Source organism: Homo sapiens, chromosome 5 (genome assembly GCF_000001405.40).
Source record: "Homo sapiens chromosome 5, GRCh38.p14 Primary Assembly".
NCBI lineage: Eukaryota > Metazoa > Chordata > Mammalia > Primates > Hominidae > Homo > Homo sapiens.
The window spans coordinates 159,261,699-159,286,036 of NC_000005.10; the positions used below are offsets into that span (position 1 = coordinate 159,261,699).

The 24,338-nt window shown below is 36.7% G+C and overlaps 1 protein-coding gene across 1 annotated transcript, besides 5 other annotated features; it reads left to right on the plus strand.

The window, feature by feature from the left end:
* Positions 817 to 1,324: an enhancer, noted in NCBI's record as "H3K27ac hESC enhancer chr5:158689523-158690030 (GRCh37/hg19 assembly coordinates)". NCBI's record gives its function as "activates a minimal SCP1, AML or CMV promoter by ChIP-STARR-seq in primed H9 embryonic stem cells {active_cell/tissue: H9 hESC(primed)}" and the evidence as "EXISTENCE:reporter gene assay evidence [ECO:0000049][PMID:30033119]".
* Positions 1,159 to 1,228: an enhancer, noted in NCBI's record as "active region_23545". NCBI's record gives its function as "activates an Ori minimal core promoter by ATAC-STARR-seq in GM12878 lymphoblastoid cells {active_cell/tissue: GM12878}" and the evidence as "EXISTENCE:reporter gene assay evidence [ECO:0000049][PMID:35858748]".
* Positions 1,259 to 1,568: an enhancer, noted in NCBI's record as "active region_23546". NCBI's record gives its function as "activates an Ori minimal core promoter by ATAC-STARR-seq in GM12878 lymphoblastoid cells {active_cell/tissue: GM12878}" and the evidence as "EXISTENCE:reporter gene assay evidence [ECO:0000049][PMID:35858748]".
* Positions 1,259 to 1,832: a biological region, named in NCBI's record as "H3K27ac hESC enhancer GRCh37_chr5:158690031-158690538".
* Positions 1,325 to 1,832: an enhancer, noted in NCBI's record as "H3K27ac hESC enhancer chr5:158690031-158690538 (GRCh37/hg19 assembly coordinates)". NCBI's record gives its function as "activates a minimal SCP1, AML or CMV promoter by ChIP-STARR-seq in primed H9 embryonic stem cells {active_cell/tissue: H9 hESC(primed)}" and the evidence as "EXISTENCE:reporter gene assay evidence [ECO:0000049][PMID:30033119]".
* UBLCP1 (ubiquitin like domain containing CTD phosphatase 1) lies at positions 1,592 to 24,338 on the plus strand. The gene is made up of 11 exons (NM_145049.5): positions 1,592 to 1,662; positions 7,172 to 7,371; positions 8,210 to 8,301; positions 8,662 to 8,747; positions 8,830 to 8,945; positions 10,325 to 10,423; positions 12,887 to 12,924; positions 13,450 to 13,548; positions 16,540 to 16,656; positions 21,514 to 21,641; positions 23,206 to 24,338. The coding sequence occupies exons 2-11, from the start codon at positions 7,218 to 7,220 to the stop codon at positions 23,231 to 23,233; spliced, it is 957 nt and encodes a 318-aa protein (NP_659486.2). The 5' UTR covers positions 1,592 to 1,662; positions 7,172 to 7,217; the 3' UTR covers positions 23,234 to 24,338.

The window sequence follows — 24,338 nt, forward strand, 5'->3', positions numbered from 1 at the left end:
GAGTGCAGTGGCATGATCTTGGCTCACTACAACCTCCACCTCCCAGGCTCAAGTGATTCTCATGCCTCAGCCTCCCGAGTAGCTAGGGTTAAAGGCACATGCCACCACACCTAGCTAATTTTTTTTATTTTTAGTAAAGACTGGGTTTCACCATGTTGGCCAGGCTGGTCTTGAACTCCTGACCTCTAGTCATCTGCCTGTCTTGGCCTCCCAAAGTGCTGGGATTACAGGTGTGAGCCACACTGTGCCCGGCCAACATTTATCATTTGTGTTGAGACTATCCCAACCTTTCTCCTCTATTTTGAAATACAAAATAAATTATTGATTACTATAGTCACCCTACTGTGCTGTGGAACGCTACAACTTATTCCTTCTGTCTAACCATATTTTCGCTCCTTTTAACTTCTCTTCATCTCCTTCTCCCTCCTTATCCTTCCCAGCCTCTGGTAACCACAATTTTACTCTCTATCTCCATGGAGTCAACTTTTTTTTAGCTCCCACATATGAGCACCAAACTTCAATGTAAGACCCAAAACTATGCAGCTATTCCAAGAAAACGATTTGAGAAAATGCTTGAAAATGTTGGTCTGGGCAATGATTTTTTTTTTTTTTTTAATTAAGACTTTCTGAAGAAAAGGGCATACTTTTCACTGAAAAAGTTTGAGTTTTTTAAATGAGCAGATACTCATGCATTACTAGTGCAGCCAAAAATTATCAAAAGTAGGGAAGAATGCAAAATAGCGTGTGCCTCTTAACTAAAGAACTGTTAAGATACAAAACTTGGCTCTTTGCTGCCTTTCCCGCACTGCCAAGAGGGAAACATGAATTAGTTACATTGCCGTGGTGCTCACTGGGAGTTCGCTGTATGGACCAGATGGGTACTGCTCCGAATTTCCATTCAAGTCTGACATTCTTTTGTCAGCGTTTGTGTAACCGGTTTTCCTTGCATTCAGAGGAAAGACAGCATGGAAGTATGGATGGGAAGGTTGAGACGATTGGATACTGTATGGTAACCTCGATCGCAGCTCTCCTATGAGACTTGCTTCTTGGATTCTGAGTCACTTAAGCTTGCCCCTTCTCTTTCCTGACCCTCTTCCGTTTCCCCTTAGATTGGAGATTCTCCTCAGATTCTAAGTCTCTGAAATTATTAGTGTTGGCAGCCCCTGGGCCCATGGAGGGGTCTCAAGTCTTCAGTTCTCAAAGATCACCTTTTAAGCTTCATTCGGAACATGACACAGCCACACGAGTCCTAGCCCTGAATCTCACGAAGACCTCAGTACACCTGGAAAAGGCAGCACACCCAGTTACGACACTACTAGAGACGTCACACGCCTCAGCACCCATCCGCTCCCAGCCCAGAACGAGCGCACGCGCAGAACGAGAGAGCGGCCACCCAGGGATCGGCGCTATCTGCACAGCGGTTACAGTCTCGGAAAGGCCTGGCTTCTTCGTGGCTTTGTGGAGATCCCTTACAGCGGCCATTTGATTAGCACCCGAAGAGATTCAAAGGAAGCAGTTGTTCCGTCCCCAACATATTTCCGTTTCAAACCACCCACTTCCGGTTTTTCAGCCGGTTCCGGTCCCGCCCTTCACTTCCGGTCGCTTTCGGTCTCTCAGCGGCCGGTTTCTGCGTCCGCTGCCGCAGGTTCCACCGCGCTCCAGGTGAGGGGTTGCGGGGCACCCTGGCGCGCTGCCCTTGGAGACGCTGTTGGGGCTCGGGGACAGTGGCTTTGCGGCCCGCGCGGCGTGGCTTGCACTGCGGCGGGCTGGGGATAGTGTCTGTCCTAGTCTGACGCCCAGGCCCCTAGCCCCGGCCCGCTTAGTCGCGGGGGCCGCTGTCCTCCCATCCAGCAGTCTAGCCTATTTGGAGGGCTTTCTGTTTCCCAGTGGGTTTTGCGTCCCCAAACTTCATTCCTCCGTCTTCTCAGGCTTGTCCATCCCTCCCCTCAACCTCCTTGTTGAAGGCATCCCGGCCTTTTTGGTTCTGGAGCCTCCACCTGCCTCCTAATGCTCCCCTAAGTCAGTTAGCACAGCCCCCGACCCTGCACCACCTCGCAGTTGTTGCTGGTGTGCGGTTCTCGCCGGAGTTCTTAGTGCTTCACGGTTATCTTTTGCTGGGATTGTTGAAAGTTAACCTCCCGTTAATTCCCAAAGTGTTACTTTTACTGCTATACTTTAAAATTTCTTCATTTGCCACTTTTTAGGTTTGTGGTCCCGGGCAAGTTTAATTTCTTTTCAGGATTCTCATTTGTATAATGAGGACAACAGCTGTTGGTTCAGGATTGTGAAGCTTCAATGAGATAATTGTTTAGCATGTTTTTATTCCATCATGAACACCATTTGTATTGTGTTTTACAGTTTACAAAGTGCTGTCACAGGTGTTACTTCATACCTTAACACTACTCCTGTCCAGTGAATATTAGTAGCCTCATCTTGTTGAGAAGACTGAGGCCAAGAGGTGGATTGACTAGGCAAAGTCAACACAGTATGTTAGGTAGAACTCCAACCTAAACAGCTATTCTTGACCCTAGGTTGACCATATGGAAGTGTATTCTTTGCTTGCTTGTTTGGGTTTGCCAACTTCACTCCTCCCCACACCCCAAATCATTTTTCAGCTTATAAATCTGATGGGATCTGAAATGATACAAAATACTAAGAAAGAAGGTTAAATGTGAAAGCAAAATAGCTCATGCATTTATATCACACTGCTTCATTGGTGTGAACGGTCTTAATGATGAAATAAGGTTCAGTAACTTTTAAACAAATCTTAAAGACATATGCATTTACAATTTTTATGGTGTTTGTTTCGCTTGGCCCTTTAAGGCATTTGCCAACTTGGAATTTCCACTTGTGGGATAGGTGCTTCGTAACGTTTTTATGCTGCTTTATTAACCATATAGAGCCCATGCCCTCTGGCACATTTTTTTTAAGGCTGAAAACATTGAAGAGCCTGTAGTACTGACTCTCAAATTTGAGCATTCATCAGAGGTGAGGAGGACTGACCTTGTTAAAACACAGATTCCTAGGTCCCTTCTCTCCACCCCAATTACATTTCTACCAAATTACCAAGTGAGGTCAATGCTGTTCGTTAGCCCAGGGACCATGCTTTGAAAACCACTAGTCTAGAAGAGCAATCACTTGTCCAGGGTCACCTGGAACTCAGATGATTTCACTCCAAACTCTGCACTACTACGCATCACAATATATGCGATATTAGTGCTGGTTGCCTTTCTAGCTCTCGTAGGATTCCCTTTTATTCTTATGTCTTACAGAAAATATTTAAACTGTATTTCAGTTTAACTCAAAAGGTCCACTTTTAATTGAAGAATATAACATTTGTTATAGTTCTGTCTAAAATGGAATACGTTACCCTAAATTAAGACACTTGCTTTACATTTTCAGTAGAACACATTGTAAACATAGGAGTAAATATACATTTATAGTTCATATTTGTATTCATATATGAGTAAATATAAATATGAATTTATGGCTCTCTCTTCTAATTGGCCTTTTAGTAGGAGACACTGTTTTTAAATTATTTTTGGAAGTGGAGATTAAAAATTTAACCTCTTTCTTGCAGTTGGTCCTAATAGTTGCATGAAGAGTGCAATCAAATGTTTCATCAAATAAGTGAAAGCATTGGAAATACCAATACCTTGAGATTAGAAAATCCAGTTCTCTGGACTGTGGGAGGAATGAGTTTAATGAAAAATAGAAAGCTTTATGCAGGAAGAGACATATGTTTGGTTATTTACATGAGTGGCAGCCACTATATAATCTTTGTGTGCTTAGATCTGTACCCATGGGTTTTGTATTTTCTGATTGATATGGTTTGGCTGTGTCCCTACCAAAATCTCAACTTGAATTGTATCTCCCAGAATTCCCACTTATTGTGGGAGGGACCCAGTGGGAGGTAATTGAATCATGGGGGCCGATTTTTCCCGTGCTATTCTTGTGAATAAGTGAATAAGTCTCATGAGATCTGATGGATTTATCAGGGGTTTCCGCTTTTCTGTCTTCCTCATTCTCTCTTGCCACTGCCATGTAAGAAGTGCTTTTTACCTTCTGCCATGATTCTGAGGCCTCCCTAGCCATTGTGGAACTGTAAGTAGCTGGGATTACAGGCGCCCACCACCACCTCTGGCTAATTTTTTTTTGTATTTTTAGTAGAGATGGGGTTTCACCACATTGGCCAGGCTGGTCTTGAACTCCTGACCTAAGGTGATTCACCTGCCTCAGCCTCCCAAAGTTCTGGGATTACAGGCATGAGCCACTGTGGCCAGCCTTGGGTATGTCTTAGCAGCATGAAAACAGACTAATACGGTAAATTGGTACTAGTAGAGTGGGGCATTGCTGAAAAGATACCCGAAAACGTGGAAGCAACTTTGGAACTGGGTAACAGGCAGAGGTTGGAACAGTTTGGAGGGCTCAGAAGAAGACAGGAAAATGTGGGAAAGTTTGGAACTTCCTAGAGACTTGTTGAATGGCTTTGCCCAAAATTCTGATAGCTATATGAACCATAAGGTCCAGGCTGAGGTGGTCTCAGATGGAAATGAGGAACTTGTTGGGAACTGGAGTAAAAGTGACTCTTGTTATGTATTAGCAAAGGTACTGGCAACATTTTGCCCCTGCCCTAGAGATTTGTGGAACTTTGAACTTCAGAAAGATGATTTAGGGTATCTGGCAGAAGAAATTTCTAAGCAGCAAAGCACTCAAGAGGTGATTTGGGTACTGTTAAAGGCACTCAGTTTTATAAGGGAAGCAGAGCATAGAAGTTTGGAAAATTAGCAGCCTGACTATGCAGTAGAAAAGAAAAACGCATTTTCTGTGGAGAAATTCAAGCTGGCTGCAGAAATCTGCGTAAGTATCAAGGAGCCTAATGTTAATCCCCTAGACCGTGGGGAAAATGTCTCCAGGCTATGTCAAAGACCTTCATGGCAGCCCCTCCCAGCACAGGCCCGGAGGCCCAGGAAGGAAAAAAGGTTTCGTGGGCCCGGCCCAGGGTCCCCGCGCTGTGTGCAGCCTAGGGACTTGGTGCCCTGTATCCCAGCCACTCCAGCCATGGCTGAAAGGGGCCAACTTACAGCTTGGGCTGTGGCTTCAGAGGGTGGAAGCCTCAAGCCTTGGTAGCTTCCATATGGTGTTGAGCCTGTGGGTACACAGAAGTCAAGAATTGAGGTTTGGGAACCTGTGCCTAGATTTCAGAAGATATATGGAAACTCTTGGACGCCCTGGCAAAAGTTTGCTGCAGGGGTGGGGCCCTCATGGGGAACTTCTGCTAGGACAGTGTGGAAGGGAATTGTGGGGTCAGAGCCCCCATACAGAGTCCCTACTGGGGCACTGCCTAGTGGAGCTGAGAGAAGAGGGCCACCACCCTCCAGGCCCCAGAATGGCAGATCTGACAACAGCTTGTACTGTGTGCCTGGAAAATCCACAGACACTCAATGCCAGCCCGTGAAAGCAGCTGGGAGGGAGGGTTTACCTTGCAAAGCCACAGGGGTGGAGCTATCCAAGACCATAGGAACCCACCTCTTGCATCAGTGTGACCTGGATGTGAGATCTGGAGTCAAAGGAGATCATTTCGGAGCTTTAACATTTGACTGCCCCGCTGGATTTCGGACTTGCATGGGCCCTGTAACCCCTTTGTTTTGGCCAATTTCTCCCATTTGGAATGGCTATATTTACTCAATACCTGTACCCCCATTATACCTAGGAAGTAAATAGCTTTCTTTTGATTTTACAGGCTCATAGGCAGAAAGGACTTAACTTGTCTTAGATGAGACTTTGGACTGTGGACTTTTGAGTTAATGCTGAAATGAATTAAGACTTTGGGGGACTGTTGGGAAGGCATGATTGGTTTTGAAATGTGAGGACATGAGATTTGGAGGGGCCAGGGGCAGAATGGTACAGTTTGACTGTGTGCCCACCAAAATCTCAACTTGAATGATATCTCCCATAATTCCTATGTGTTATGAGAGGGACCCAGGGGAAGGTAATTGAATCTTGGGGGGTGGTCTTTCCCATGCTATTCTCATGACAATGAATAAGTCTCATGAGATCTGATGGGTTTATCAGGGGTTTCCGCTTTTGCTTCTTCCTCATTCTGTCTTGCCACTGCCATGTAAGAAGTGCTTTTTGCCTTCCACCATGATTCTGAGGCCTCCCCAGCCATTCTGCAACTGTAAAGTCCAATTAAACCTCTTTCTCTTCCCAGTCTTGGGTATGTCTTTATTGGCAGTGTGAAAACAGACTAATACACTGATCTTTGATGCCTTAACTCTTGTATGTTCAACTGAAGAGATACAATTGTGGAGGAGAAGAAACATAAGATTTAGTCAGAAGACCTGTTCTGTAACTAGCTATGTGTCTATGTACAGATTGTATAGCCTCTCAAAACTCCTGTTTCCTTAATTGTAAAAGAGGGAAAACTTACCAAATTACTTTCTCTAATGAGATTGTGTAAAAACTTCAATTCATAAAATATGAAACAAAGAATGGCTATTTACTATTTATTTAGCACAGTGCCTGCCTGGAACATAGTAAGCTTTTAGTTTAAAAAGATTTTTGTTTAACCAATACTTAATTTATGTAGTGTTTACTAGGTGCCAGGCACTATGTACCTTGTAAATGTTAATTAAGTTAATCCTCATAAAAGCCCTAAGAAGTAGGTAGTATCATCATCCCTATTTTACAGATGAGGAAACCTAGACACTGAGAGTCAAGTAACTTCTCAAAGTCAGATGGCTAAGTGGGAGAGATCTGGGATCTGAACCCAGGTCATCTGGCTCTAGAATCTGTGTTCTTAACTACACCACACTACCTTTCAAATGTTAAATGAACATGGATGGTCTGTCAGGGAAGGACTTGCTTGTAGCATCAACCTGACCAAATAGAACAGGAGGAATGGTAGCTCATAATTGCACATTTCCAGTTGAACAGTGAGACTCAGAGTATTAGAAAGTAGTAACTCTAAGCCAAAAATTAGGAGTGTGGGGGAATTTAACTTTGAGTCCTAGTATCTTTTGGTGTTCTGGTAGCACTCCTGTATGGACAAAAATCCTCTCTATCATAAGTTGTAAAATAAGGCTTAAACTGTACACATAAAACTTAAAAGTTTGGCTTCAATAAACAGTATCTATTTTAACTTGTTCATTTTTGTCTTCCTTTCCAGGTATTTTTTTTTCTGAAGGAAAGCTGCTTCCTCATATGTTTCAAGAATGGCTCTCCCTATCATTGTAAAATGGGGTGGACAGGAGTATTCAGTGACCACACTTTCAGAAGATGATACTGTGCTCGATCTCAAACAGTTTCTCAAGACCCTTACAGGAGTTCTTCCAGAACGCCAAAAGTTACTTGGACTCAAAGTTAAAGGTAATTCTCTCCCCTCTTCAGATTTTTTGCATTGAATTTTTAGTATTATGAATTTTAATAATTATTTTGAATATAATTGTTTAATAATTTATACTTGCTATTTGTAGTTTAGTAAGTCTCTCCCTTTCGAGATTTCTCTGGTAGAAATATTCTTAAAATTGTTTTAGTGGTAAAAGTAAGAATATTAAAGTGTTCTCGAAAATACCATGATTATTAAGATTACTTTTGATGTTTTAGACAGTCAGTATTTGCTTGTTAAACCTTTGGCACAGAAGTCCCGGATGAAACTCATTTATTTTCTGACATCTACCTTTTAGCACAGTGTTTCGTTGTAACGAGGGCCTCGTACTCTTCCCAAATTATCTTTTCTGTTTCAAAAGTAAAGACAACATTTAAAAATTACAGGCAGCATTCATATCCAGTTTAAAAGGGATTTTTTTTATGGTGTTTTGTGATTATCATATTGAAGAGTGAGTTTTGAGTAACAGTAAATCTGCAGTTTTCTTAGGCACTCAATTTTTAAGGCTTCCTGGAAAACAGTAATATTCATCTTGAACAACAGAATAAAACATGAATTAATTTTGTTTAGGTAGTTGAATAAAGGTGTTCATCTAACATAGAATTGGGGAGAAAATAACCCTTGTATTAATTTTGACTTCTTCGTGTCTTAGATATGACTAATTCAGCAGAAACAATTTGTTAATGTAGGAAAAAACAAAACAACAAAAATTGCTGTGACATCTGTACCAAACCTTTTAATGTTAGGGTTTTATATAATGGAATAGTGAAACCAGCACCTGAACTTTAGTGAGAAAACAGTCATTTGCTTGTATTGTAGGCAAACCTGCAGAAAATGATGTTAAGCTTGGAGCTCTCAAACTGAAACCAAATACTAAAATCATGATGATGGGAACTCGTGAGGAGAGCTTGGTAAATGTTTACTTTTTGTTACCATTTGTCCATTTGAAGATATTATGATTTATACTACACTGTTGTATTATAGTTTTAATTGTGGTAAAATTGTCAGTCTAGCAATCAATGAAAAATAAAACCCGCACCGTGAATGTGTTATTAACTGTATAAGTATAGTAGTAGCACAAATGATCAAATTTAATATGGTAAATCTGCCCAGGAAACATACATAACGAATTATTAATTGTGGAAATTTTCCAGTATGGGCTTAAAAGACTCTGGAACTCAAATTGTATCTCTCATTTTATTTTTATGCTATGCATGTATTTGTTATATTAAGGATAATATGGTAGAACAAAACTTTTTCCATCTTAATAGGAAGATGTCTTAGGTCCACCCCCTGACAATGATGATGTTGTTAATGACTTTGATATTGAAGATGAAGTAGTTGAAGTAGAAAATAGGTAAGTGCTTTTCGCTTTAGAAGTAATCAGTTGTCATGTGAGAACAAGTGAATATTTTATCTAATTATATGTTTTCCATTAGGGAAGAAAACCTACTGAAAATTTCTCGCAGAGTGAAAGAGTACAAAGTGGAAATTTTGAATCCTCCCAGGGAAGGGAAAAAGCTTTTGGTGCTAGATGTTGATTATACATTATTTGGTAAGTCAGTTAAGAATGCTTTTCATTTTCTGTTACCCACAACAACTCTTTTTTTCTTTTCTTTGTTTTTTTTTTTTCTTAGCAACTCATGGTTCTCGTGAAATACTTGAAAACTTTTCTTATTACAAAAGTAAATTGCTCATTGTAAAAAATACAGATAAGCAAAAAAAAAAGTCATCTGTAATCCTGATACCCAAAGATGACCACTCTTAGTAATTTGATATATATCTTTTAGACTGTTTGTATGGATCTCCTCTAAATCTTTTATTTAATAACACATTGAACATCTTCTCAGTAAAATATTGTTTATTATGAATGATATATATATATGTGTGTGTGTGTATATATATTTTTTTATTTTTTTGGCCAGAAAGTATTCTAGTTTATGGATGCATCATCATTTAACCATGTTATTCCCTGTTGATTATAAATAATTTTTTATAAGGAATATTTTAAAAATTATGTTTGATATTTTATCACTAGTTTTCTGTTTAGTTATATTCAAGCAGATTCTTGAATTTAAAATTTCTCATGTAGGCCAGGTGCAGTGGCTCACATATGTATCCTGGCACTTTGGAAGGCTGAGGTGGGAGGATTGCTTGAGCTCAGGAGTTGGAAATCAACCTGGGCAACAGAGCAAGACCTCATCTCTAATAAAAACTAAAAATACTCGCTGGATGTGGTGGTATGCACCTAGTCCCAGCTACTTTAGGAGGCTGAGGTGGGAGGATCACTTGAGCCCGGATTAAGACTGCAGTGAGCTATGGAGTGCCACTGCACTCCAACCTGGGTGACAGAGTAAGACCCTGTCTCAAAAAAAAAGAAAGAAAAAAATGTTTTGTGTTCATTGAAAAAGAAAGATGTTCCTTTTATGTCTAATGTTGGCAAGAAATAGTTAACTTCTGATACTGGAATTTATTTCTAACCCTAAACCTAAAACATAAGTTAATGTACAGTTTTTAAAAATTTAATTAATTGGTTAATTGGCCTGTCATTTTGATGAAATGTGATTATATCTGCAAGGTAGATGACTAAAGGTGAGTATAAGTGGACATAGTTTGTTTTTCATTATTAAAAAATAACATCTAAACTTTAGAGACTAGGTGAGAAAAAAATTTTCAGTTTACTACTTAAGCCTGAATTTTCAGTATTGCTTTTTGCAAATTGAACAAAATTGATCGACTAAAATTGGATCTTAAGGATTTTAAATTGTGTTTTGAAAGACATCTTTTTGTCAGCCAACGTAATTCAGTCTGAAGCAGTTTGCAATGAAATGTTTATGTTTGCATTTCGTAATATATTACATTTAATAATAATTGGTATTAGGTACTTGTTCATGATGGTAAACTAATAATTATTTATGATCAATTTTCTTTTAGACCACAGGTCTTGTGCAGAGACTGGGGTAGAATTAATGCGGCCATATCTTCATGAATTTCTAACATCTGCCTATGAAGATTATGACATTGTTATTTGGTGTAAGCTGTATTTTTTTGTTTAGATTTCCGTGGAAATAGGTTGTTCCATATATTATTGTGCTGTATAAAATGTGACTTAAAATGACCTGTGTTTAAATATGAAATAGTTTTCATTTTTTAGCAAATTTCTAAAATGAAGCATGTATCACAATATAAACTTAAACATATATTGGCCAAATACCAGTGAGATAGTTAATTTAACTATAGGACATGAGTACATTATAGTGTAAGAATAAAAATGACTAATTTTCCCAATGACCCCACCTTGATTTGAAGTTTTTCCTTCTGATTTTTTTTTTTTTTAACTAGGCACATATCTTTAGGGTCTCGCTGTGTTGCCCAGACTGGTTTTGAACTCCTGGGCTCAAGTGATCCTCCTGCCTTGGCCTCCCAAAGTGCTGGATTACAGGCATAAGCCAATGTGCCCAGCCTTTCCTTCTGATCTTTGCTGTGAAATTCTTGATGCTTCAGAATATTTTTCTTTTCTCCTTTTTTCCTGACTCCAGTTTTAAAATACTTGGAAAAAGGTGTTTAAAACAAAATCACAGTGATATAGTTCTCTGGAAATAAAGGCAACTTGAATTACTTAAGGAAAAATTAATATGTGGACTAAAGCCAGTGACATTGAAATTGTGGTCTGCGGACCATTTCAAGAATGTACAGGTCTGTGATAAGATACTGAGTTTGTTCCAAGAAGTAAATATACTGTAATCGTAAGCACACTATTCAGTTCAATTAACGTTTTTTGGTAGCAAGATTTTCTTGGAAAATGAAGCAATGCATTGATTTACATCCCTCCTCCCCACAAATATTTAAAGTTGCCTCTTGGCAATGTCATAAGCAGAGAAGAGTTATCCTGACTGAATTAAATGAAGTCCCATCAAGTAAAGGTGCTACATTTCATTGTACTAGGTCTTTGAGAGAAATTATGTTAGTTGTTGCAGTCTGTAAATTCATTTTGTATTTTTCCTTATAATCAGAGTACTTCCGTTGTTTGTGATATGTGAGTTCCATGTGAGTTCACAGCTGTTAAGATTAAAATTATTGTCAAAATATATAATTTTCTGGTTTAGTAAGATAAGGTGAAGAAAGCTTGCTGGTTTGTTTAGCAACTTTGACATCTAAGATGATATTTGAGAAAAAAGTTTATCCTTTAAATGTTATTAAACTAGACTTATAAAATTTGAGAACCTTTTACAATAGTATATTTAAATTATTTTTATAAACTGTGATATTTTGTGGTAGTTCATTGAAAAGAGTACTTCACTTTGGAGCTAAATAGACTAGGATTTTAATTCTGGCTCTGTTCTTACTGTGTGACACTGGACAGGTCACTTAATCTTTCTGAGCCTTAGTTCCCTCACTTGAGAAATGAAGATATCTAAATACATATTACAGGTTAGTTGTAAGAATAGAAGTATCAATATAGCAACTAGTACTATGTCTGACATATAGTTACTTAATAATTAGAAACTTTTTATTAGCTGTGGGTCTTTTTGTTTTTCGTCTGATAATTACAGATACAAAGTAAGTACCGGATTAAAATTTTTTTCTATCTTATGATTATTTTCATTGGAGATACAATAGTCTTTAAAATTTTAGCTCAACTGACCAGTTTTGTACGTGTAAGGTGATTCTTCTGTTTTTTTGTATGTGTGCATGCTGAAGATTTTTTATTTTGAGAACTCAGGTTCCTCTTTTGCTTTTAAAAATCACACACACACACACACACACACACACACACACACTTCAAATAATTAAATTGCTTTTTCTCTTTTTAAACATTTTACTTGGTTATACCTGTATAGTTTAGTCCAGTAAACCAGGAGAGCACATAAAGATGAGGATTTAATTTTAGTATTAATGATCTCAAAGCTGGTTAATGTCTGACAATGAGCAGATACATGATGCAGGTATACTTCATGAATTTGTCTCATTTCTTGTTAGAAGCTGCTAGACTCAGTGAGCTTTAATTTGCTGAGACTGACAAAATGCAGATTTTCACTGAACCTGACTAGCTGGTTTTCAACATAAACTTTTGACACATAACAATATGCTTATATTGACACTATGTATACCTGTGCATTGCCTAGAAGTAGGAACATGGAAAAAAGTGATCCAGGCACCCAAGTTTAAGTTTGGAATTGATAGAGTGTCAGGGCTGATTTAAAAAGAGAGTTTAGGTCTTGATTTATAAATTTCCTAGGTTCAGAGTTCTTTTGAGCATGGATTACCTGTATCTTACAGATAAAAGTTGTTTAAAATTTATTCTGTCTTGAAGACACACTGCAGTAAGTTTACTTTTATCAATATTTAAAAGAAAATTACCATAAGTATGCTAGGGACTGTTAATTCTGATGCATTTAAACTTTTAGTTTTGCTTAGAAAACTTACTTATACAGATTTTTTTTAAAGAAATTCAAGCTTTTCATATGTATTGTATTATCATTCCTCGTGTTTTAGCTGCAACAAATATGAAGTGGATTGAAGCTAAAATGAAAGTAAGTGTTAGAAAGCAATCCATTTAAAAATATTTTCAAACTGCATTTGTCTTGTTAAAAGTTCTAGAACTGAATTAATTTTATTCTTACTGGAGGGCACTTAGTAGATAGATAAATGCCATTATTGGGAGTAGAGGTGTTTTTAAAGTGTGTTTAATAAGTGGATTGTACTGAATCCCTAAGTCTTTTTTAAGAAAAAGTATAACTAAGCTTGTCCCCTCCCCCACATTCTTCCTCATTTTACAATAATACTTTATTTTCCTTCTTTTGCTCTAGTGTGCAATACTTAAAGAGTCAGTATTCTCCTAAAATGGTAAATTAGGAAGTAATCTATTTCTATTTTCCTTGGTTTACCATTTATTGACTTGGCTAAGTGAAACTAAAATACTTCCTAGTTGTTTAGCAAGATGTAGTGGCCAGTGGTGTAGAAAGTTGGCATTATGAGAAATTGCAGCTAGAATATTCAGAAAATCTGAAATTTTCCACACTACTATGTTTTAACCTCACAAATATTTGTGTTTATAGGAGCTGGGAGTGAGCACAAATGCAAATTATAAGATTACTTTCATGTTGGATAGTGCTGCTATGATAACAGTACATACTCCAAGGAGAGGATTAATAGACGTAAGAAGTCATTTTATTTCTATTTAATGACACCATGGTTATTTTCCAGTGTACTTTTTATGTTTATACCTATGGAGTAAATAGTGTAGAGATTCATCTGAGTGAATAATAAAGTGGTTGAGTTTTGACATAGGAAAATGTATTTAAGGTTAAAAGATTTTTTTTTTTTTTTTTTTTTTTTTTTGAGATGGAGTCTCATTGTGCCGCCCAGGCTGGAGTGCAGTGGTGCAATCTCGCTCACGCAAGCTCCGCCTCCCAGGTTCACGCCATTCTCCTGCCTCAGCCTCCTGAGTAGCTGGGACTACAGGCACCCGCCACCACGCCCGGCTAATTTTTTCGTATTTTCAGTAGAGACGGAGTTTCACTGTTGTTAGCCAGGATGGTCTCGATCTCCTGACCTCGTGATCCGCCTGCCTCGGCCTCCCAAAGTGCTGGGATTATGGGCGTGAGCCACTGTGCCCAGCCAAGGTTAAAAGATTTGAATTTTAATGATAAAATTAGGGATCTTGAAGTAGGACTGTCAAGAAAGGAACTTGTGATTGTGGGTAATTGACCTGTGTTGATGACAGCACAATGTTACTGGGCAGAGTAGGTGAGAAAAATACTGAATATTATCAAGGAAGATACTAGAAACAAGCGAAAACACTCACCCTGCCCTGTTTGAAACTGGTAATAAAAGCAGATGCATCATGATGCATGTACTTTGGGATGATGCTGAAGAATAGCAACAAGAACAATCAGAGAAAAGGGTTTGGCTAACCAGTTATTTTACTCATCAAGTAACTACTCATACTATTAAGTATCTACTGTCTGGAAGGCCCTGTGATAGGCACTGTTGGGAATAAAGAGATGAGTGAGACACAGTCCATATCATTTGAAAGCACCCAAACTGTTAGCTGGGCTGGATAATGCATGCCTGTAATCCCAGCTACTCAGGAGGCTGAGGCAGGAGAATTGCTCAAACCCAGGGGGCGGTGGTTGCAGTGAGCTAAGATTGAGCCACTGCACTCCAGCCTGGGTGACAGAGCAAGATTCTGTCTCAACAAAATAAAGTAAAATAAAAGCACCCAAACTAATAGGAATTGAGGAGAACTTAGGATACGAGGAAACCTTAGGGGAGACAGTATTAAAATTATCAAAACCATAAATAGAATGATTTAAGGGCATGGGGACTTGTTCTATAAAGGAAATACTGCATGTATCGAGAAAAAGATAACTTACTATATACTAAAGTAAAATAATACATTTACAAAATCTTAACATTAAAAATTACTTAGGGAAATGTTAAACATGTTTTATAACAGTGAAAAATTAAAGGAATAAAAATAATCCTCAATATCCAGCAATAGGGCATTGGATATATAAATTACTGCTACCCATATAAGGGACTGTAGCTCGTCATTTGATGTAGTAGGATATGTAATGATTTAGAAATTTTCATGACACATTTAAGTGAAAGAAGTATTTTAGAGAACACTGTTGTAAGCCGTTAGAAAATAGTTCTTAACCTTTGTTTGGTTCAGGATTACCCTTAATTTAACAAAGAACCTGTCAACTCTCTGAGGCTGCTCTTGTTTATAAAAATGCCTGGAGTCAATGTATCAGAATATTGAGTTGTTGCCCTTGGTACTGACTAGATTATTGATTTAAAATTTTCCTTTATGCTTTTCAGTATTTTCATGTTTTTTTTCTGTAGTTAGCAATATTACTTTTCTAATTGAGAGCAAAGTAGTTTGTGTTTTGGGGAACATAGGTGCTTGACCTAATTAACAAATGACAGCACTTTTTAAGAGGATGTAGGATTTTTATTCTGGATGTCATAAAAAATGACCTCTGTTGTCATATTTCTTGAGGCTTTTGTTAGCTAAAAATCCACAAAATATGGCTTATTGTATTAATTCTTATATATTTGTCTTCATTTCGTGGGGGGAGTAGGGGGCGGTTTCTATTTCGGTAGTAAACAAGATCAGTAGCAAAAAAAAATCAGGAAAGTAAAATTTTAGTAAATTAAAATATTTCATTAACATTTTTTGTAATAGGCAAGACAATAGGAAGGAAAAAGCTTTCTCCAAATTAAATTATAGGAGGAAAAAAATTTTTAAGTTACAACTTTTATCACTATTTATTTCTTACCACTTAATCTCATATATTTATTATTACATTCTGTTCTCATAATACCGTAAGACTTCTGTCTTCAGCAAAAGTAATTTTCTAGAAATTTAAAAAATTTTCTGAATGTGTAATACATTTGCATGACTAAAAAAATAGTAAAGTACATAATGAAAAGTCATCTTTCACCTGGTACCTAGCCACAATCAGTGTTATTTCCTGTGTGGTCTTACAGAGACTTTACACAAATACCAACAGGTAAGACTATATAAGAAATTATTTATTTGAAGCTTCAGTTTAAGAATTCAGAAATAAGAGTAAGAATTTGTAAAATATGGTGCTTCCGAAGTTAAGCAATCAAATTCCCTAGAAATTATGCACCTGTGCCACTGAGTTAAAGACAAAACGAGTTTTTCCTCTATAAAATATTCAAATTATTAATTGAAAAAGCCAAATACAGTTTTTTTTTGACTAGGGTGTTCTAGTTTTGAAAGCAGACTCCATGTGACTCCCAAGCTCTGAGAAGGAATGTGTTAACCAAGGAAGTCATGTGACTGCATAGCAGACATCTAAACAATTACTTTGGATTTTTAAAAAATTAAATAATTTATTTATTTTACCCAAAATCTTCACGTTAAAATTATGGAAAGTTTTATAATGGGTTTAGTTCAGTTGGACATGAACAAACCTTTCAGAAGTTTTAATATTGCAAAATGCATTGTGCTTTAAAGTGGGTTGCATTTAATGATTAGCTCACACCTGTCTTACAGGGGGAAAGGAACACTTTGGCATTGTTCTGCAGGGCAGTTTGCAGTATTCCTGCTTTTAAGACAGGATGAAATATTGATAAAATTTGAGTTAAATGTAAACTTTTATTCTAAGGTAAAGCCTCTTGGTGTTATATGGGGAAAGTTTTCGGAGTTTTACAGCAAGAAAAACACCATTATGTTTGATGACATAGGGAGAAATTTTCTAATGAACCCACAGAATGGACTAAAGGTAAGACATACTTTTACTTGTTATGTGCTCATGTAATCTGGGCTGTGTGGTAGAACTTTTGTAGTAAGCACTGTTGAATTTCATATATTTTTGGAAGTACTGTATTCTTATGTCATAGGCGAGAAAAGTTTAAGAATAATTCATATAGAAATTGAACTTTGTCTTTTTTGCATTGATGTCTCCATAGTTAGCTAGTTCATCCAAGTATTTGTTTGTTTATTTATTTATTTATTTTTGAGACGGGATCTCACTCTGTCGCCCAGGCTAGAGTGTGGTGGTGCGATCTCGGCTCGCTGCAATCTCCACCTCCTGGGTTCAAGTGATTCTCCTGCCTCAGCCTCCTGAGTAGCTAGGATTACAGGCACGCACCACCACACCCAGCTAATTTTTGTATTTTTAGTAGAGACAGGGTTTCACCATGTTGACCAGGCTGATCTCAGGCTCCTGTCCTCGTGATCTGCCCACCTCGACCTCCCACAAGTGCTGGGATTACAGGCATGAGCCACTGCGCCCGGCCCAAGTGTTTTATTTTTAATTAGCTCTGTGGGAGCAACATGGGCTTCCCAACATTGACTTTTAGCATCCAAAGTGAAATCATTAGTTATTTTTTTAGGTATACAAATCTTGGCATTTTAAACATTCTGGTTAGCTTGAGAAATGGCAGTAAGGGTACTTTGTTTTTTCTTTTTAAACTGAAACTAAAGACGTTTTTGAAAATTCCTAGACGGCAAGTACAGATCTTAGAATTAGACATTGCCAGAGCTAGAAGGAACCACAGTCATCTCTTGCCTACCTTCTTAACTTTGGAAACAGTCTGAGGTTGAAGAAGTTCCTGACTTGCCCAAGATTGTATATGTAACTGGCTAATGACAGAATTTGGGTTAGACTCTAGTGACTTGGTTCCTAGGTCAGTGACAATCTTAGCATGCAACTGCATGCAGTCTTATGTGACATTTCATCCTGGTAACAGTATAAAATTGGTAAGAGTGAAATTTGAAATTTAAAAGTTTCTGGTACCCATAGTTGATTACATGTTGGCGCAATATGAAAATGGAAAAGATAGCTCTATACTATGGCACTATTGCACATGGAGTCTCCATTCGAAGTGGCAGTCCTGACACTGAGATGTTTTCATTCTCAGTCCTAAACTTTTCTACTAGCTGGGTCCTTGGTAGTTTTAAAAGACAAGAGAGAAAAACTTAAAAGTACATTTTTTAAACCTTTCTTACAGACTGTTGATTTGAGTTTTTGTTTACAATGAGGATATTTTAGGGAAAGAATACTAATCTAGGTAGTGAATTGCCATAAGTATAAAAACTGTTGACTTGGAAGAAAAGTGGTTATGTTGTCCTTAATGGTTTCTGTTTAAGGCTTGGAGAGAAGTGCTTTTCTTAATATGTACTGCACCAGGTAAAGGTACAAAAATGTATTCTTGAGTCTTGAGAAGAAATGTGGTTGATGTAAACCTAATTGTTTGTGAAACGAATGGTTATTACCTGTTCTTGCAAGGAGGTGATCCCATGATGGTCAAGGAATAATTTTGGAGGAGACGTTTAACTTTAAAAAAAAAAATACAATCATTAGTTTCATGTTTGTTTAAAAGAAACTTTGTTTTCCTAACCAACATTTGAGCTCCATTCATCTCTTGATGCAGGGAGAGATGTTATTGTAAATGTCTAGTTCTTTATGTTACTTTACAGTAGGGTTTTTAAAAGACTGTACTCAGTAGACCCACTGAAGGAATTCCTAAAAATACGTATGTCCCCATCCCCTAAATTCTAATTCCAGAGGTAGATTTAGACACTCCACAGGCTGTCCTTGTGTGTCTTTTATTGAAAACCTCTTTTTTATAAAATTAATCTACCCAAGATAACACTTCATGAAAACCTCTTTTAAGGTTAAAGATTAAAGGTTAAGATTAAGATTAAAGATCTGCCCACGTCGGCATAGAAACAGGTGGGGTTTTCTGACAGGGTCTTGCTCTGTCACCCAGGCTGGAGTGCAGTGGCATGATCAGAGCTCATTGCAGCCTCGACTTCCCTTGCTCCAGTGATCCTCACATGTCAGCCTCCCAAGTAACTGGGACTACAGGCGCACGTTACCACACCTGGCTAATTTTTGTATTTTTGGTAGAGACAAGGTTTCGCCATGTTGCCTAGGCTGGTCTCGAGGTCCTGCACTCAAGCGATCCACCTATCTCGGCCTCTCAAAGTGCAGGATTACAGGCATGAGCCACTGCGCCCAGCCCAGAAAGAGTTCTAAAATGGAGAAATATCCTCAAATGCTGTGTTTTGTTATCATGCTTTCATAATGCACTTGGTAGAAATCTCAAAGATTTCATGTAGATCTTAAAAATAAGACTGCTCATTTTTAAAATAGTTAACTTCTATTAAACATAAGCTTGTCAGTCATAAGGTTTGAAGTACATGGAAGGTACTGTGAATATGAATTTAGAATTACACTAAAAGAATGTGAATCTTGGTCATGGATAAAGCAGTTTATCGGCTGAAAACTCCATTTTTATTGTCTGTACAAGGAAATTATGATATAGGAGAATTCAGCTTATCTAGACAGTCTTAAGTTTCTAAAAATGCTTCCTTGACCTGAGACAAGATGATGGTTTCCTGTCCTTTTAGTGATCACTTAGATCAGTTTTTAAAAATGTACAGTAAACAGTGGTTATACTGGAGCAAGTGAAGTCAATTAGGTGCATAGATTTTCACCCTTAATTTGTTTATTTAAAATTTTAGAACCAGAATCATTAGAATATTTTAGTTTTGTTGTTTAATAGTGCTTAAGAGCAAATGTTTGGAAAGTAAAAATAACTTAGCAGAGCCTTGGGTTGAAAATCTTATTTACTACCCACCAACCCTGTAATTTCCTGCTGTTTAAATTTGGACACTTTGGTACATTATATATTAATTGCTTAAAAGTTAATTTGTTACCTTTCAGTCCTTAGGAAGTGAATGAAGGAATACTTTAAAACATTACCATATCACCCAGGATTATGCAGAAACTCATTTCACTACATCCTCATATCATGACTCTGTTTACTCCCATCCCCAGGGCCTAAGCAAGGCCCTGTAAAGCGTCGTCTTCAGCCCCCACATTCACTGCTGCTCGGAAACAGCACTGCTGCACTACCTTTTTGGAAGTGGGATCTCCCACAAATGCTGATTTCTGAGGAGACTCCCTTTGACAGCTCTTGACTGGTGCCCTTCAAGCAGTATGGGAGCCAGCTAACAGTGTGGAGGTCACTGGCACCAAGCTGTTCTGATGAGAGTAGAACACCTGGGAAAATTTTCTTCTGTCCATTTCAGATGGGTGGTGTTTTTCCAATGACAGAAGAAAAGTATGTAAAAAATACTTAAACCCTTCCCTACACTTAATAGGTATGGTAGTAGACTCCTTTGGGCTCACTCATTGTTCTTGCTTCTCAGTAAGTGACAATGATTAAATATCATTCATTTTTCAGTGTTAACTGTGTAAAATTAATAACTAATGACCAAAAAAAAAAAAAACTAATGACCAATTTGCATTTTCTCCAAATCAAAAGAATATACTAATACTTTGCTAAGTATGATGAAATCAGTCCTTACATGTGTGCTTTAGGAATATGTGTGCTTTAGGAATATGTATGATTTTTTTTTAACGATAACAGAAAAATTCAAATGTAAACAGAACTATATAAAATTGCTTAAACCCCCATGTAGATATCATTCAGTTTAAATTAGCTTATTAATTCATGGATGGTTATTGTTTGCTCTATACGCTACTTCCCTCTCCTTAATATTTTGAAGTAAATCTTAGTCATATCATATTATCTAAAATTAATTTAAAATTATTGAAAGACTATCTTGAGTTGTATAAAGATATTTGAGCAGGTGTCTTTTACAAAACAGCAGAATTCTTTACTGAAGCTATAAAATAAGGAAAAGTGCATAAATTTATAGTTCAACAAACTGTAAAGATAATTCTTGTAAAAAATTTTATTCCACTAAAATTACTCATGATTTTCCTTTCCAAAGATAAACACTATTACCATCTTGATTTATAGTCCTCTAGTCTTTTTAAGCATAGATTTATGCACAAATCTAGATGAAGATTGCATATAAACATATGCATTCATAGCACCGCCACTCAAGTCAAGATATGGTATTCCTTACTAATTGCAGTCCCCTACCTCGGTCTATTATTCTGACATGTGTGGTTTGAAATAATGCTTTTTAAACTCTTTTTCATCATAAAATAGATCAGCCTTAAACATTTGGAAAATATGGCAGTTCTTTTTATGGAAAACTCTTGCATAATTAAAAATGATTTTAACAGAGAATTTAATGATAAAGAAAAATGCTTATGATAAAATGTAGGAGGAAACAGGTTATATAAATGTATAATGATATCTCAGCTATATAAAAATTTAATAGAAAAATAAAATAAAAATCATCGTTAAAATTTATCTCACTGTACTGTTAGATCAAGCTGGTATTGGGGTTAAATTTTTATGAATAAAATAATGTGAATGAAATTAATTAGAAGCAACTAGAATGATAGGAGGCGGGAAAGGCTAAGTAGTTTTGCAAAGTAGAGTAGCTGTGTATGGATTCAAGTGCAATAAGAAAGCTGGTGTTGTCAGGTTCAGATTGAAAAGATAATGTTAGGTAAAATAGGTAGAAGAGTTTGTAATTTGTAAACATTATACATGACTTTCTATTTAGGCTAATATAAAAGTAATTTTTAGTATTTATGTTCTTGGTGATATTTTAACCTCATTAACTCTAATTGAAATGATAGTATAGATTTGTTAGTTTTCCTTATCACATTGTGATGTGTTGAGTAATGTTTGTTTCCTAATAGATAAGGCCTTTTATGAAAGCGCACCTAAATCGTGATAAAGACAAAGAACTTTTAAAATTAACTCAGTACCTCAAGGAGATAGCAAAATTAGATGACTTTTTGGATCTAAATCACAAATATTGGGAAAGGTAAGTTTTAATTGCTTATTTATTTTCTCTTTACATCAATGAAGAAAAAATTATCATTTTTCATCAGTGACCCCAGTATATATATAGCTGTCTTAATTTTTATTTAAAATAGGTGACTTCTAAAAACATTTTCTAATCCAGTGACCTACCCCCAAAAGTATTTTCCCCTTTCATCTTAACCTCTAACTTGTTCATAAACATACCTCTTGTAAACTCTTTAATACTTCTAGAAGAGAGAACTTGAGAGACTAGCATATGTTGGTGATGCTGCCTGTAAATTATTTTGTGATGTTAGGTAAGCTACTCCTTTATGAATCACATGGAATATAATCCCTCTTCTCATACTGTAACTTAATGTCAGGATAAGATAAAACACATGTAAAAATTTCATAAATAGTATTAAAAATTACCAGTAACTTGAGTGTAGCAGAGAAATTAGAAAAGTTTATCCTACTAAAAAAACAATTACTCATAATTTTCCTTTTTAAAGATAACCACTGTTACCATCTTGGTATATAGTCTTTCAGTCTTTTATCTAAACCCAAATGTTTGCACAAATCTATATAGACGTTGCCTATAAACATCAAGGTTTTGAGACAGAGAAAAGTCCCCAGAGAAGTGGAAGGTATTACTATGTATTACAGTATTTGGGGGGGAATTAGATCTTTGAGGATCTGGTTCCAGTAATACAGCACCAAAAGAAACTATTTGTGTAATAATAACACTTTGGCTTTTCAGATTCCACTTTTGACTTTTCAGATCAGTTTGACACAAGTCTTCTAAGAGTCTATAATCCTAATAGGAAGATAAAGCAGACATTTTTACCCCCATCTTTAAATTGCAAATGATGTAACTGAGTCATGGAGATAGTAAATACTTAGTGCAGTGCCACAAAGTGAGCAAATTGTACCAGCAAAACATGTCCAAGTTTGCTGATTTTAGGAACTCTTTCCCCATCCCCACACCACCAATTATAGTAGTTTGTAAATGTTAGAAATAGAGATCAAGTTTTTAATTTAGTGGTAGATTTCTATTAAACAATATGAAAAACACTTGTTTGCTTAGTAATGTCTTATATCTTTTACACTCTTGATCAAAGACCTTTAGCATCTTTTGCCCACTGTCTTGATGTAACAAAAATAAGATCTTTATGGAGTTTGATCTGTATTTGGAAGTTACAATACTAGTTAATATAGTGACTTTCACATTGGAAGTAAGGCAGTATGGAGTGGTAGTCAATGAGTATGACCTCTGGAGCCTTGTTTTGAATCTAGGCTCTTCCACTTTCTAGCTGTGTGAATTTGGGCAAATTGCTTAACCTCTTTGTGCCTGTAAAATAGGAATAATTCTAATAGTAACTCCTCAGAGCTGTTGTGAAGACTAAATGAATTAATACATGTACTTAGAACTGTGCGTGCACATAATCAGTAGATGTAAGTGACTATTAAGAATACTCATCTTGAAATGTTTTGTCATTAGAACAAACTCCTTTGGGAGCAAAGTTAGGTTATCTTCATGAATTTAGCATGATACAGCTTTGACATCTTTATTTTATTTCTTGCAGATATCTCTCAAAGAAGCAAGGACAGTAGTTACAAGTTATACTGGCAGTTATTGAAGATACTTAAGATCCAAGAACTTCTTGCTTTTATGCTAGAAATCATTATGATAGTGCTGGACACTGAAGCAAATACCATACTGCTTATACTTGGTCTTCCAGTTTTTTGTAAATTTAATTTTATATTTTTTGAAGATGATAGCAATATGCTAAAAAATGCTTGTCCCCTATATGAATATTCTGTTACGCTTGAAAAATATTTTCTCCAGCGTTGGTTACTGACCACCCCACCCTCCCACCACACACACACACACACACACACACACACACACACACACACACACACAAAGTGGAGAAAAATGTATACTCAACAATGTCATTTTGTGACTTTGGAAACAAGTTATGTTTTGTGTTTTTGTCTCATTGTGTTATTGTCTGACTAAATCTAAAACCAAACCCATGTTGAAACTAGTACTTTTCCCTTTAAAAACAAACCAAAAAAAAAAACAAAAAAAAACTTTTTAATTAAAGAACCTAGTTTGCTATGCTTAAAATTACCAAGAATTTTTTATTTCTTTGTCATAGACACAATTTCTCTTCTGTATGCCACTAGTTACATTTCTAAATTCTGAGCGGTCTCAGTTAGGCCTGTATGTGTGTACATGTCCAAGTAAAGCTGGAAAATGTCAGTCTTGACACAGCTGTGTCTTAGTATGAGAAACAGAAGACTGAAGAATAAAAACTAAGGAACAAGAATGAGTCTCTTTTTGGTGGCTAAGTAGAATCTTCCTAAAACCATTGTCATAAAAGCAGTTAAAGGCAATAAATTTTTAAAAGGGACATATCACTGATTCATTCCTAAAAAGCATGAACAAAAAGTTTTTGTTCTGTTCCAGCTATATCTTGTCTAAGTGCTAACACTGTTTCAGTGAAAATATCTAGCCATAAGATTAAAAAAATATATTATTTGCAATGCTTAAGCCTGCAGATACGTAATGTGACCACTGTTTTGTGTTGACAATATTGCTTTATACAGTTCTTGTATTTGAAAGGAATTGATCCTTTTAAAGAAACATGGTGTATATTGTTCTTACAGGACTAATTTCAGTGGTGTAAATAATAAATATCTTTTCTTAAAA

Excerpts from the sequence above, each read along its gene's own strand:
- UBLCP1 (NM_145049.5), top strand. The coding sequence starts at position 7,218 with ATGGCTCTCCCTATCATTGTAAAATGGGGTGGACAGGAGTATTCAGTG. Across the intron at positions 10,424-12,886 it reads TTATGACATTGTTATTTGGT|CTGCAACAAATATGAAGTGG; the intron begins GTAAGCTGTATT and ends CTCGTGTTTTAG. Across the intron at positions 16,657-21,513 it reads ACCCACAGAATGGACTAAAG|ATAAGGCCTTTTATGAAAGC; the intron begins GTAAGACATACT and ends GTTTCCTAATAG.